Here is a 15,718-nt window from a genome sequence, read left to right as displayed (position 1 = left end):
CTGCTTTAAGTATACAATTCAACGGTTTTTAGCATACTTATAGAATTGTGCAACCAGCATCATAATTACATCTTCATCCTTCCCAAAAGCTTCCTAGGTGATCCCAGTGTGCAGCCAGGGTTGAGACCTGCAGTAAAAAAATTATTTCTTTATGGTTTGACCATGCATTGCATGTGTGGTGATAGACAGTAGTCAAGGTCTATAGATGCCACATGCTTGTGTTCTGAAACTCTTAGTGGTTGAAGAAGACCAGAAAAGATTGCACATAAGCTAATAAAATCCAAACGTCTATCTCAAAGTCCCTATCTTAGTATTTATTCATTTATCCATTCAAATAATATTTGACTAACTGATACATATACATAATATATATGTAAGGTATATGTATGTATGCATGTGTCAATCATTATTTACTGACCCTGCAATAAATCCCAGGGATTCACCAAGGAGCAGCAATTGGAGTTTTCAATAACTGGAATCATGAAAACTCCAAGAGGTCCTGAATTATCACCTATTTTGTTGTGTAAAGTGGTGTATGAAGTGTTCTGTACTGTTTATATGTTACTCAAGAACAAATCCTTTTTTAAAAATGTAAGTCATCATCTCTTAAAAATTTATTTTAAATATTTTTTCAGGACCTCTTGGAGTTTTCAATAACAGGAACTGTGAAGCCCAATATTGTTTATCTTCTAATAGAACACAATATACACAGACAATCAGAGTATATAGGACAATATAAGTATAGCTTAAAAGTTACAATAGAAGTTTTGATTTTTTAGTTATAGTTGATAAAGATATTGCCCACATTTATCAGATGTGTTGCTCATCATAGCAATGACATACATACTGTAACATGTATATTGAAAAGTCTATATGGGTTTAATAGGTTTGGGCCATAATCCCAAAAGACACAATCCTGAACATCACAATCTTGAGTGTTGAAATCCTGAAAAATCGGAAACCCCTAAGGTCTATAATCCTGAAAATTACACTCTTGAAAGATCAAAATCCTCAAAATACAATTCTGGAAAAAATTTAAACTAAATCCTTAAAGAGAACATTTATTTACATTTTTAAAAGGGAATATTTTTTAGAAGCATAAAAATAGGGCAGAATACTTGATTGGCCACTTTATGCAATAAAATCGACAAGAATAACACATATTTTTGCAAGCATAAACACTCAGGTATACTAAAGACATTCACATGGGTATAACAGTGATGAGCAGGCAAGCTCTGTTCATAAAGAAATAGATCAAAAAGCAAGATGTATGAATGTGTATGACAATGATTGGTGACTGCATGCACGCAGGTTCATGACTGTGGTTATCTGAAATATGACAGATAACCTGTGTCTTTTGAGGAGATTGATCAAAAACTGAGATGAGTTACCACCACATGTGCAGATGGCTAAAGAAATGTTAAAGGAATGTCAAGCAATATTATCTTTCACAAATGCAAATGTACAAAAGCCATCTCTTATTATTTAAAAGGACATCTCTTTGTTAATTAATTAAAATTAATTAATTTCACACACATGCACAATGCTTACATACAAAGTCAACTTTGTGTAAGGTACTTCCATGGAGTCAATTTGCAAAAATGCGTAATATGAATTAGAGCTCTCTAAAACTCTTTACAGAATTTATACCTTCAATGTTGGAAATGATGCGAAGATGAAATACGGAGCATAGTAGGTTGGTGCTATGTGTGAAAGGGAAGTAGCCATACATAATTGAATAATTTGGCAGAAAATATTTCTTGTATTTTTCACCTGCATTTTCACTTCTATGATCTTCCAAACACTTGGTGCACTTGTATTTGGAGAGTGGTTGTGATCTACATGTTTTTTTTTTTTTTTTTTGAGACAGAGTTTCACTCTTGTCATTCAGGCTGGAGTGCAATGGCGTGATCTCAGCTCACTGAAACTTCTGCCTCCCAGGTTCAAGCAATTCACCTGCCTCAGCCTCCCAAGTAGCTGGGATTACAGGCCCCTGAAACCATGCCCAGCTAATTTTTGGTATTTTTAGTAGAGATGTGGTTTCACCATGTTGGGCAGGCTGGTTTCAAACTCCTGACCTCAGGTGATCTGCCCACCTCAGTCTCCCAAAGTGCTGGGACTATGGGCGTAAGCCACTGTGCCTGGCCTGCACATTTTATAAGTATGTGCTCGTTCATTGGAAAGTCTGATTATTGCATGGCCATTGCAAATAAGAGAGACTTTCTGCTTTTGCAGCACCAATAATAACTAGCTTTTAATATTTTATCTTTCACCTTAGGTAGCCTCGTACACTAAACTTATCACAGCCTTTTTTCAAGGGAACAATTTCACAGATTTCTTCCATTATGTTGTGAAGGATACAGTAAGAAGGAAGGATATTCAGCTTCCCCAACACCAAATTAGCCAGAGTTGTCAGAGAGATGATACTGATAATATATGTATATAGACATAGATATAGAAGGGGAGATTTATTACGAGAATTGGCTCATACAATTATGGTGGCTGAGAAATTCCACGACAAGCTGTTTGCAAGCTGGGATGCTGGGATGCTGAGAGCTTCCTGGTTCAGTCAGTCTGAGGCCTCAGAACCAGGAAAGGCAATGATGTACCTCTCAGCCCAAGGCCAAAAGCCTCAGGACCTGGGGGTGCTGGTAGACGTCCCAGAATCCAAAGACAAGTGACCCTGGAGTTGTGATGTCCAAGGTAGCAGAAGAAAAGTCTGTCCCAGCTCTCAGACAAAGAGACCCATCTGTCTTCTTGCCTTCCGTCTTTGTTCTCTCCAGGTCTCCAGCAGATGGGATGATGCCCACCAACAATGAGGGCAGATCTTTCTCATCAGCCCACTCAGACTCACACACCAGTCTCCTCTGGAAACACTCTCACAGACTCACCTCAAATAATGTTTTACAGGTTTCTAGGCATTCCTTATTCCAGTCAAGTCGACATGTGGAATAAAGCCCACAAGTCCACACCTTATTTACTTGGCTCCCATATGCCTCTCCTTAAACCATACTCAATTTCCAAATAAAGACAACAACAAGTTGTCTCTGAAACAATAAAACAATAGTTTCACCTAACACGATGCAACTAACTCAACGCAGCGATCCTGCGTACCAATGAAAGCACATGAATCCCTTCTGCACAATTCAACTTTCAGAATTTCACCATCTGAGACTTTAATCTTTCAGGTTGGTGATTTGGAAGGGTTTTAGATGTTAGGGATTTTAGACTCTAGGGATTTAAATTTTTCAGGATTCCAACATTTGCGATGATGGCATTCACGATTGTGTCCTTCAAGGTTACGATTGGCATTGGAGCTGAATGTGCTGAAAACTAGAGTGCCACAAAATAAGACAAAATAAGTCTACTGGCTTAAAATAAGACATACCTATTGTAGAATCTGGAGATGGAAATTAGGTACGTATACGATTTAGCAAGTCCTCAAGCACTGGGAGGAATCTGCGGCAGAAAAAAACAATGGTCCTTATGGCTTGTGATTGTCTTCACATATTTAACTATGAGATGATCAAAACAGCAAGCAGTGTGTGCCTAGATTGTAGGTGAGACTGAATGAAAGTCTGGGCTTGCCTTATGTCTTTCCTGGGTACTAGAAGACTTGAACAATTTAATTGTTAGAACGGGAATTCAAACACATGTGTCTTTTCTAATTGCCACACATGTAGGAATGAACATTTTGAGACACAGGCAGAAACACAATCTTACTTAGTGTTAAGATACCCTTCCCCACTACCCCAACCATGAGCCCATTCCAGCCCAGATTGGCTGTCTCCGTCTTGTGAAGTCCTGCCTGTTGGTTGGCGACTGATGCCTGTGGAGACAGTACTCACAGGCCAAGATGAGGACTTGGTTCACGTGCTTGGGAAGAGAGGGAGAGACTTTTGAGCCAATTCTATGATTTAGATACCTGGAAACTGTTCCTCAGTAATAAAAGACTCAATTCTGTATTCAAGATGAATGATCTCTTGAAACCGTACCCCTGCCTCCGTTAGAGTCCTCTAATCTGGTTGAGAACAATTGTCATGAAAAGACCAAGTCATTCCCTGCAGCCCCCAGCCTGCTCTCAGCTGGCACCTCTCCTGTCCCATGGAGCCTGTCATGCTCATGGGAACAGCAGGGGAGACGTGGGCATGGGTGGGGGAGGATAGAGGACGAGGTGGAGAACCACAGCTTGGTATATTTCCCTTGATTGTTTTCTGGGAGAAATGACCAGCAGCTGGGCAGTTTGTGCAGCTAGAACTCCAGAAATGATTCATGTGTTGATATGTTAATTAGGAGCCATCATTTTTCAGTAGAGCAACCCAACAAATATGATGACTAAATAAATCTGTGTGTTTCACTGCCAACAGCAGCATTTAATCTGAAGAGGCAGAGCTCCACGCAGGCACCTCCTGGGGAGACAGCAGACTCTGATTTCAAGGGAAGGGGCACATTCATTCTGCTGCCTGGCCCAGGGAGGTGAGGTTCTGAGGATGGATGCTTATGGGGGGTTTAAGTGGATCTCATTCTCTAGATTATGCACTGGAATCAATTGGGCATACGAATTATAACAACAAAAACAACAACATTCACGAAAAATAGTAATATCAGAGAATGTGTATTCCCCATATTTTATGTGCCAGACACTGATTAAGACTATGACATACATTATCTCATGAAATACTCACAGCAATATATAAGCAATAAGTATTATTATTATCATCATCTCTAATTTCCAGAAGAGGTGTTGAGGCTCAGAGATGTTAAGCGACTTACCCAAACATGCCAAAGACAGTAAGAGGCAGGGCTGAAATTTGAATGAACACAGATGCATCAGGCATGAAACCTCTTCTCTTAATGACACTAGGAAGGGAATTGCAGATGGACAGACAGGAGTCCCAGTAAATGCTTGAAGTTCTTCCACCCTCAGGATTTTTTCCCACTGCTGACAAGCCAGGATGTTGAATTGCTTTTGGCTAAGAACTTCTGTCCTCTTTGTGGAAACTTCTCTACCCCAAGACCCAGGCAAAGAGAAAGAATGCTAAGGCTGTTCCAAAGAGATAGGAGCAGATGATGTGGAGATGCAGGAGTAATAACCTGGAGTGGAGAAGAAACAAGAGAAGATGGGACACATCAGGATATCCTGGGACCATCACAGGCACCAGGTGTGTGGGTACGACCTGCTGGTGTGTATGGGAGCAAGACCGACATGAGTAGATCAGTTCTCCTCTTCCTTGGGGAGGAGACAGAGTCTTGCCTCCAAGAGCATGTTCCTTCCAAATCCAGCATTTTCACAAGTGTATCCTCACAACTCTAGTCTTGAATGGTGCATTTACCCCCATAAAGCTTTTCTGTTAAAAACTTTTGAGAAATGCTGGGTATTCTATTCCCCCTCTTGAAGAATCCAAATGCAATTGTTGTGCTAAAGGCTCTAGGCAATCTAGGCAATACCATTGCAAAAACAAGATGAATTTAACTTCAAGTAACACATAATTTATCAAGGACATTTGTTCACACCTTTTAAAGTAAACCACAAACACCATTCCAGGGGTTCCACCCTGGGAAAGGCTTTGCCATTTGAGAGGGGTCAGTGGTGTTGGAGATTTGCAGGCCCTGGAGCTCAGGAGTATGGAGATGTTCCTAACAGTAGGAGGAAAGATTGCAGTGGCTGGCCCAAGGAGACCACTGAAAATTAAAACTTCACCTGGCCAGTATTTCTCTGCTTCTGTCCATCAAATTAGAGGCAAATATAGTTTGCTAGTACCCTGAATTTCCTTATGTGAGAAACAGAATTGCCTTTGGCCTTAGAGCGTATTTGCCTCTGCTATTTCTCTCTTTAATATGCAAAATGTATATAATACGGAAATGTGTTTTGTTTGTGATGCTGAACACCTGGGGAGGCCTTTAACGCTGTCCTTGGTTCTAAGGGTTTGAGAGCTGTCCTTGGTCCTGAGTTGGGCAAGGCCATTTTCTGAACAGCTCCTGTGATATTTAAAATAGCTCCTCTAGTCATGTGAGGCCTCATATTCCAAGAACTTACAGAAAGAATAAAACATTTCTGCTCAACAAGGGAAATATTGCTTCCACAGTCTTCTAAATAGTGTCCTTTCTCAAATAGAGCACTGCCTTTTAGCTCTGAGCTCCCTGATGGGCTTGGCTGTACCCCCCCCCCCCCCCAACAAAAAAGCCTAGATCCAAATTTGGGGGAAGAGGCTGCATTACCCTGCATGAAAAAAATCAGAGTGTGTGTTCTTGCAACTTGATTTCTTTCTCAGTCCCTCTAAATACTGATGAAACTCTACCATACATACGAAGTGCCTTCTTTGGGTGAGGAGAGGGTAGGAGATGGTGAGAATGCCTGGTTTTGGCTTCTGGATCAGTGTAGCAGTTCAGAGAAGCACCATGTGCAGGACGGTTGGAGGGTCATGTGTCATGGAAATTATGCTCCTGAGGAAGATATGACTATGGAAACGGAAGTCCCCAGGCCCCTTTCTAGGAAAGATTTGAACTTCCATAGTAGAGTGGAATCTAAGAGTCCATGCATCTAGATTCCAAGAGCAGGGGCTGACAGGGCAGCAGGAACAGTGAATCAGACCTTGGAATTGAGCTCAACAAGCTCCCTTTACTATTCCCTCCACTGATGCTCATGAGAGGAAATGCATTGTTAGGATGATGGGAATGGATTGTTAGAGTAATGTAATGGAAAGGCTTCAGAAATACTTGTATTCTTTTTATGAGCTGGGCTCAAATGGTTGCATCTCACGGCCTGAATTGTAGCTAATGAAATCCCCTAAGATAGTAGGAACCAGTAAAACATTACATTACCCTATTACCTCCACCAAAATGTAAGTTGCATTGTGGCTGTTATAATTTTGGTGGTAGGGGGCCCATGTGCCACTGTTTTGCATTTTTGTAAGGCAAAAATGAGGAAGGTCTGGACATCTTTACTCTAGGGATGCAAATGACTGCGTGTGTTTAAAGTTAAAACCAGTAGAATTCAACTATGTGAGAGTGAAACCTTGAATAAAGTCACCAAACATGGAGAATGGGCTGAATTTTAGGAAAATCTAGGGTTATAAATACCATTGCTACCCTGAACTAACCAAAAGTTTATGTGGATGCAACTAGGCCTTCAAAAGGTGGAAAACACTAAGCTCTTATAATTCACTGTTCTTGACTACATTCCTTTCTGGAGAACAGCTACACAGAGACCTCAAAGTGAAGTGAAGTTACTCAAAAAATACTTAATATTTTGAATCCTCACTTTGCTATACACAAAAACTGCACTGTGTAGATAACTTCAGCTGGATACAAATTCCAATTTAAAAACCCAACATAAAATGCACTCCCAAGAATATATAATTAGACAACATTTATTATGACAGCCTGGGTGCTTAAAGTGTTGAATATGGGTTAATCTTGGATAGATTTAAAACACCACCTGTTCACTTCTGTTAAAGAATATATTATAATTGTAATTTCTGTTTCACTGAAGTACTTAATCCTCATGTATTTAGTTTCATCTTTTGAATATGTAGAGGTATGGGAGAATACCTCCCATCAGTCAGAGCCAGCAGGCGGGCCCTTTACTGAAAACGTCTGGGTGTCACAGAAATGTGACTTTCAGAACAGGCCCGTGGCTCATAGAGGCCTTCCTGTCTGGGAAACCATTGCTAGTGGAGCCATCAAGACCAATTCAGGACCAGGGAATCCTTTCAGCCCTGCAAGGGAAAAGGCTGCCCCAGGGCGTGTGGGCATAGAGCTGGCCAGGACTTTGATGGCCTGAATTCACAGAGGCCAGAGGTAGTTGACTCCTTAAAACATTATACGTTGTGTGCACATTTCAAAATATCACTCTGTATCCCATAAATATGTGCAATTATTGTGTGTCAAAAATAAATAAAATAATAAATAATAATAAAATAAATAATAAAAGGGGAAAAAATGTGCTTGCTTCTCCAAAACAGAGAAGTTCTGTGGAAGCCATCCATCCATACCTTCTACTTTTTCAGTTCAGTGTTTCCTGGGGCCATCGAGGTGGGTGAGGACAGGAATTAAAACAATGGAGAAGATGCTGACAACTGATTTTGTACTCACCTTGTGTCTTCTACCAGGTTATACGCTTCTTGAATGAAGGCCATTAGGGCCATAAGGTGATTGAAAGAGATCTAGTTCAACCCTTTATCACTAAAGCCAGAGTCATGGGGTCATCTCCAGGGTTACATGGGGAGGCATCATAGCTAAGAGCTCAAGCTTTGAGGGTAGGGTATCCAGATTTGGCCTCCCAGAGGACACTTGTCAATGTCCAGAGACTTGGTTGTCACAACCTGGTGATACTACTGGCATCTATCGACTGGGAGAGGCCAGGGCCTGTGCTAAACGTCCCGTGATGCCCGGGGCAGTGCACACCACAAAGAACATTCTCCCTCAAATGTCCATCATGCCAGGCCTGAGAAACCCCGTGTTAGCCATATAACCTAGCACAATTCATTCAACTTCTTCTGAGCTTCAGATTTTGTGTATTTAGGTAAAAGGGAATAACAATGATACCACTTCATTATCCACAGGCCTGGCCGAATTAGATGAGATAACAAATGGGAAGTGTTCATGAATTGCCAGCTAGCCTTGCTCCCCTTCTGCCTTCCCCCATTTAAACAGCCACCTTTGCAAACCTCTCCCAGTTGCTCTCTCTTTGACTTTAGGTAAGCTGCTGTAGTCAGGCCCTTATTAGGACACGGTTGGCCTGGGGCCACTGTCCAAAGAAGGAGTGCCAGGGTCTCTCTCCGTGGAATTCCCAGCGTGATCTTAGCTATCAGCCAGAGTGTAATTACGCCCTTCCTGCTCCCCTCCAGAATCAGGAGGGGCTGCTGCTGGCAGGAAAACAGTGGACATCTGTTGTGGCTTCCCATTCTGGCTCCATGATCAGCTGGGGGAGGCCAAATCCCTCACCCCGTCCTCACCTCCCTTTCCTCCTTTGTATAATGGGCATCCCCACAGTGCCGGCCTCATGGGGCTGTTTTATGAGGTCTTCAATGGGGTCATCTTTGTAAAGTGCTTAGAGCTGTGCTTGACACAAAATTAGCACCATATGCTTGTTAAATAATGCCCACCAATATGTCAGAGATAACGAGGGAGAAAAATGGCCACAGCATCAAGCCAACAGGACCAGAAGCTTCTCATAGGCAACTACAAGGAGGGGGCAGTGAAGGCGGATCAGGTACGTCCACTGTGGATCTGCTACACCTCACCGCTGACACCAGACAGCAGGGTCCAACAGCCCAGGTCCCCAGGGACCCCTGGGGAGGCTCCAAGAAAGTGGGCTGGGTGGGGAAGCACACACAGGTCATCTCCGGGCAGCCTCAGCACTTTTAAATTTGATTGACTTTTATTTTCCTCTAGAGACTGCAAATGCTGGGTTGCAGAAGAAGGAATCAGAATTAAACAGACATGGAAGGAGTTTAAGGTAGATTTAGGATACTATCTTTTCAGGTCAGCTGGCTAGCAACAGGATTAAAGAAAGTTTTGTGGGAAAGCAAAATCATAATTTCAGGTTCCTCAAATGGACCCATTTATCTATAAATGAAAAAATCCCTTAAAGTGGAATATTCTATAATAGCATATTTAAAATACTTCTAAAGGTAGTCATTTTATACGGAGTTTATCTTGACCTTATGCTAAGCATATATCCTAATTCACACGTTTTAAGAGGTTGGATTATGGATGAAAATGTGGAAAGAAGAAAGGAATTGAGGGGCGATGTTTTTCATTGGCCACTCACAATAGAAGCAGCCGTGGGAAGGAGAATTGTATTTTCAGTGCCATGAGAACAATTTGAAAATGATTAGTTCTAGTTCCAGATCTTCCTACAATAACAAGAGGGGAAAAATGTTCTCTTTTGTAAAAGGTCTGAGAGTAGTGCCCAAATTCCATTTTAGAACATTAAATATAAAAATTGATTTTAATCACATCTAATGTTTTAGCGTAACTAAACAGCTTTCAGTGTTTGGGTAGAAATTCATTTACCAAAGGGTTAGTAGCAACATTTCTGAGATGGCTGTGTGCCCTCTGAGGGGTGGAAAGTGCAGAAGTGAATTACTCGTAACCAAAGGTTCGAGTTCCCAATTTTTGTTCTCAATCAAAAAATGTGTGTAAGACATCCAAGCAGTCCAAAGAAAGAAACATCAATAAAGTAGGCTATTCTAGCAAATTGTCCAGGTGTTTGGATTAATGCAAAGGTTGCCCCTGGTTTGCTAGTATTTACCTGGAGACAAACACCATCCTAGTGGTTGGGGGGTACAGAGATGAACAAAACAGATGCCCTCATGGAGCTTGGCTCCCTGTAGGGGAAGACGGTCCAGAAATAATAATATCTTGAAAAGAAACACTTTATATCATGTGTCAGAAAGTGATAAGGGCCAGGAAAAAAAATATAGCGGGCAAAATAAATCAGGAGGCCTGGGGAAGGGTTAACAAAGGAGGCTGGTTACCATTTTAAATAGCACAATCTCCATAGGGCACATTTGAAGGTGAAAGTTTGTGCGAATATTTGGAGAGGACTTGGAAGTGAGTTATGCGGTTACTTGGGGGAGGAGTGTTCCCAGCAGGAGGGAATAGCCAGTGACCCTAGAAATGGAGGGAGAAAAAAGAAAGGAGAAAGGCAGTTTCCAAAATGTTTTTACTAGTGGTAAGTTCTCAATAATTAATTTTTTTCAGATACTCTTAGGGCAACCAAGTTTGGCTGCTCTTAAAAAGCAACGTGGCTAAATTTCCCCTGCAGAGCTAGATTTGCATACAATGCTTAATTTTATACAATTCAAATCCAACGATGATCAAAAATAAAAATTTAATGCCCGGAACTTTAAGTATACTGTTCTTCAATTATTTGGGTTGTTAATGTAGCTAATCAGTCTTTTAAATTTGAAGCTATCGAAATTTGTAAAATATTTATAAGCAAGTGAAGAAATGCCACACACAGATAGTGTTGAACAATAAATCTTTTAAATAAGAAAATGGAAATGTCATTTAGCATTTTTGTCATTTGCTTTCAGTTGAGCATGTCAAACATTACAGGCCAGCAAGATGGCAGACTTAATTAAGTGCATGTAAAAGAGATAGAAGTGGTTTTTATAGAAGCTATGTAAATGTGAAAATAGGCACGGATAATTATGTGTGCTCACACATTCTGTTTCACATTTGGATTCTAAATAGTTTTTAAGGCAGGGTAAATGTGGGAGGTATACTTGATGTAAAGTCTTTGCTGTACGTTTTAGATGCTTCTATCCCTGATAGTTAAACAGACTCTGGAATATGACTGATGAATCATTTGATGCCGAATACTTCTCAGTAGCAACTATGATGAGCAGTCATCAGTCACCTTTGGAGGCTGCATTATGACTATGTAATATTTTTTGCTAGAACATGATGATTCATGTGTATTTCGTAGCAGAGGGAACATTTATAATCTAAAAGCAATCACAGATTTGGGATATTTAAACTAAATTTTGTATTTTCCTGAGGCAAATAAATTTATAGGAAATACAATCAATTATTTATAAGCTGGTTACATGCTGCAATAAATATTAGAATTGAACAAGCTTGAGACAAACTGTCAATTTTCCAAATAAATTTCTGTGGTGTATGTATTTTTAAAAGCAACCAAGTTCACTGTGCTTATAAAGCTGAGAAATGTTATGGCCATTTATGGATGATGATTGAGCACTTTAAGAAGCCATGTGGGCTTATTGTCTAATAGATGATGCAAATGCCTGGAGCAACCCCGAGTCATAATTATGCACCAAACTGTCAATGAGTCATTGATGCCTACGCTCTTCCTTAATTCACCCATTTAGAAGGATCTCATTGTGTCCTCTCTATGGAATGAGTTTTGCACAGACATTCTCTAGAAAAATGCAGTGTATTGTTCAAACTCCCTAAATCCTACAGAGATTAACAGAAGTTCTGAAAGCCTGGGTTCTATGTAATGACTCACTGCCCATACACATATTTTACAGAATATATGGGGTGCATGTGTGTATATAGCAACTCTCATTGCTTAGTTTGCAGATGGACTAGAAGCACTGACCACAGTGTGTTTCAAGAGAAAAACCCACAGTCATAGAGATTAGGATTTAATTGTTGAGTTTCTAGGGCCACTCACAGCAGGTGTGCAGTGGGCTCACGATACACACTGAAAACCCCAGTCTGCTATTCCACAGTTCAGCAAAATGCCAATTATACATATTTTCAATACATAGAAGCTTATTTTTATGTTGATGGTTAAAATTCTCACTTTTCAGCTGAGTATTTTGGCTTCATGCAGGAGCTATTAGAAGGATAGAAAAATGATCTGGACATTCATCTGTCCGTAGATATGCAGCTAAGCCTGTGTAGAGACTGTACCCTGTTCGTGGTCTTCTTCCAATAAGAATTTAACTTCCTTATTGAAGTGTTCTAACCTTGGTGCCCAGGCCTGGCCAGCAGCACATTTCTCTTCTTCACAGTCGAAGAAGCATCTTGTACCTGCCCTCAGTGCCTTTCCATGTAGACGCTTTTACACATGGCTTTGTTTCATTGATTAAAAGTCTTGTCTACAGACCTGGCTACTTCACCCCATGCTGCACACAGCAGAAGAGCTACCACATCAAACACAGGAACACTAATCAGTGATAACTATTTTCAACTATAGTAAGTGATTATTTTCCTGCTGTGCGGCTGAAAATTCAATTTCTCATCTAAAATTCATCTAAATTGCTTGCTCATGAATTAACAATTCTGAGTGCTAACAGAGATGCTGGATTTTATTATCTTTTAGCTACAAGTTCTGGGAAATATAATTGGAATTGACAAGGTCTGCATAGTCTTCCCCCTACTTCCAATTTTCTCATCTATATTCTGTAGAAATGCCTGACTGCACACACACACACACATACACATATGTGTATATAGGTGTGTATCAATGGGAACTAAAAGCATCCAAAACATGAATATTTGCAACAAAACCACCTTTATCGTACTTACACTCTAACAAGGTGGATAGACAATAGACAAACAAACCTGCAAATGGTCATGTAAGCGCAAAGTGTGCTGAGTTCTATCAAGGAAAATAAAACCAAAGCATAATCTATAATCTAAAAGATCGTAGGTTCTTTGGGGATAGACTGGTCTGGCAAGGGGACTCTGAGGAGGTAGCATTTAAACCAAGACTGTACAATGAAGAGTCAGCCCCCGTAAGGAGACAGTGACAGCATTTCAGATGCAGGTAACTGCAAAGATGAAGACTTTGATGATGGAAAGAGATCTAAAGCCATAGAAAGGTTAAATATTTAGAGAAAACCTCTTAGAGAAGCACTCATAGGGAATGAACATAAGCCAACATGACTGATTGAAGGCCAAAGAAGAAGGCTTTTACTACCAAAGGATCATTTGGCTTTTCTGCACACTCCCTCCAGATAAATTATGCCCCTTAATGTTTTCGATCATTTCACAGTATGAACGCTTTGGGCATGCATAGATGGTGGAAAGCAAGGTGCCTCCTTCACAGCAGCTCTCCAAGTGTGCACCCTTCCTTTGGTGGTGGCTGCTGGCAATAATGTGCATAGAAAACACCCACTGCCTGAAGCTGCACCCAAAGCATCCCAGGGAAGCAGCTCTGCAAACCACAGCACTCTTTTGCTGCAGGGGGGTAGGAAGTGGACGCAGTGTGCAGCAATATTAAAACATCCACAAATTCATCCATATCTTCTTTTCAAGAGGCAGAGCCTAACTCTCCTCCCCTTCAGTATGAGCTGGACTTATGGACTCACTTCTAAGAAACAAAAGAAGCCACTGGGGACTTGTGGGATTAGATCACAAACTGCTGCTCTGTTTTTCATGCTCTGTCCCTCTTGGATCACTGTCTAGGGAAAGCCAGCTGCTATTCCATGACAGCCCTCCAGAAGTCCTGTGCAGAGGCCCATATGGGGGGAAACTGAGGCCTCCAGTCCATATACAAGTGAGTGAGACTCTTGCGAGTGGCTTCTCGAGCCCCAGTCTCACCTTCAGATAACATCAGCCCTGGCTAACAACAGGTATGCAGCCACTGAATGAAGATCCTCAGCCAGAATCAACTCACTAAACTGCTCCTAGGTTCCCGACCTTCAGAAGCCATATGAGATAATGTTTGTTGTTCTGACATTCTAAGGCTAGAGGGGATCATTTATTATATTTGGGGATCACTTATTACACAGTAAGAGATAACTTGTACACATGCCATTGTACTTTATAATCTTTTGGAAATATGTTTATTTTTAAAACTTCCATTTATATTCTACACATCAGTATAAACGGTGCAGAATACCAGTTTGAATACATATGTATATATGTACATATTTATGAATACATGTGTATATTCAATAAATGAATACATACATGTGCATTAAGTTAGCCACAACTTAATTTGAAGATACTGAGACAATTACAAATTAAAATTAAGATTAATTTCTCTACTCAGGGCAGGTAACACAATTTCTCTAATCTATTTTTTCCCTAGCTGTAGAATTGGTCTAAATTAGACCAGTTTCTAGGCATTATAATTCGGTTATCACCATACCTGGCACATAGCAAATAGTCATAGTAGTGGCACATCTTTGAAGTATCTTCGGAATCTTATTGGCTCAGCAATAAGACATTTACTTTCTCACTGTACTTCATTAACCACAATAAATTCAAGGTTATATTAATAATGACAGCCAGTAATTTTTCTGTGGCTTAACATGGTATTCACTGCTCTAAGTGCTGCAAGAGTACTAATCCAAGAGATAGAAGCTACTATTTTCATCATTCTCAATTTGCAAGTGAGGAAACTGAGGCATTATACATTTAAGCAATTAGGCCAAGTTCTTAGAGATTTGTAAGCAGTCAGATTCCAAGACAGGCAATTAGAAATCTAAATCCATGATCTCTCCCACCAAATTAGGCTGCCTTGATATAGAGAATGTAATCCCCACTGGGCATTCTATAAGAACACCATTTCACAGGTGTCCCTGGCCCCAGGAGAAGTGGCCACATCCACACTAAGTCATCTGAGTGGCAAAGTGAGGCAGAAGGAGGGTCAAGGTTCCCCTTGGGGTCTCCACGGGTCCCAGGAGGGTGGCAGACATTCAGAAGCGATGCTGTGACACGTGCAGAGTAACCCACCCAGCGAGGAAGTGAAAATGAGCCCCAGCCAGACCCAAAGGGGCCCATGAAGTGGGCCAAGGGAAGGATGGCTAGGCTCTAGGAAGTGGAGCAAAATCAGCTGAGAGTTCTTTGGCTGTAGCCTCAGCAGTCAAAGAGGAGTGGGGACAGGACAGCGGCCTGGCCAAGCACAAGAGACAGCAATTCCCCAGGCAGCCAAGACCCAGGGGTGGCTCAGGACTCACACACACCTTAGCAGTGTCCTCTCCCCACTGCCAGGAGCTCCTGTCCACCCCAGACACCGCCATGGGGGGAGGAAAGCGGAAGGCTCTGAACTCTGAAAACTGAGTGTTCTCATGAGAGGGACGCAGAGGCAGCTAGTTAACTGGGGAGAGCAAAGTGAGTGTTAATTGGAAAGTCCATTTCCTGCTAAGCAGTGGGTGAACAAGTTTAAGTGATTCATATGCAGATGCAAAAGCCTGCACTTCATCACACATCCTGGTTCAGGCTGAGTGGATCATTGACCCTATTGAGGAAGCTGTTTTGAATCTGACAAGGAGCAAGGCAC

The 15,718-nt window shown here is 41.2% G+C and overlaps 1 annotated feature.

Moving 5' to 3' along the window:
- Positions 5,847-6,047: a silencer, noted in NCBI's record as "peak4292 fragment used in MPRA reporter construct". NCBI's record gives its function as "represses an SCP1 promoter by STARR-seq MPRAs in K562 erythroleukemia cells {active_cell/tissue: K562}" and the evidence as "EXISTENCE:reporter gene assay evidence [ECO:0000049][PMID:32103011]".

This window comes from Homo sapiens, chromosome 20, assembly GCF_000001405.40.
Source record: "Homo sapiens chromosome 20, GRCh38.p14 Primary Assembly".
In the NCBI taxonomy this organism is placed as follows: domain Eukaryota; kingdom Metazoa; phylum Chordata; class Mammalia; order Primates; family Hominidae; genus Homo; species Homo sapiens.
Note: the sequence above shows the minus strand (reverse complement) of the source record. Positions and strands in the feature narration are given on the sequence as shown.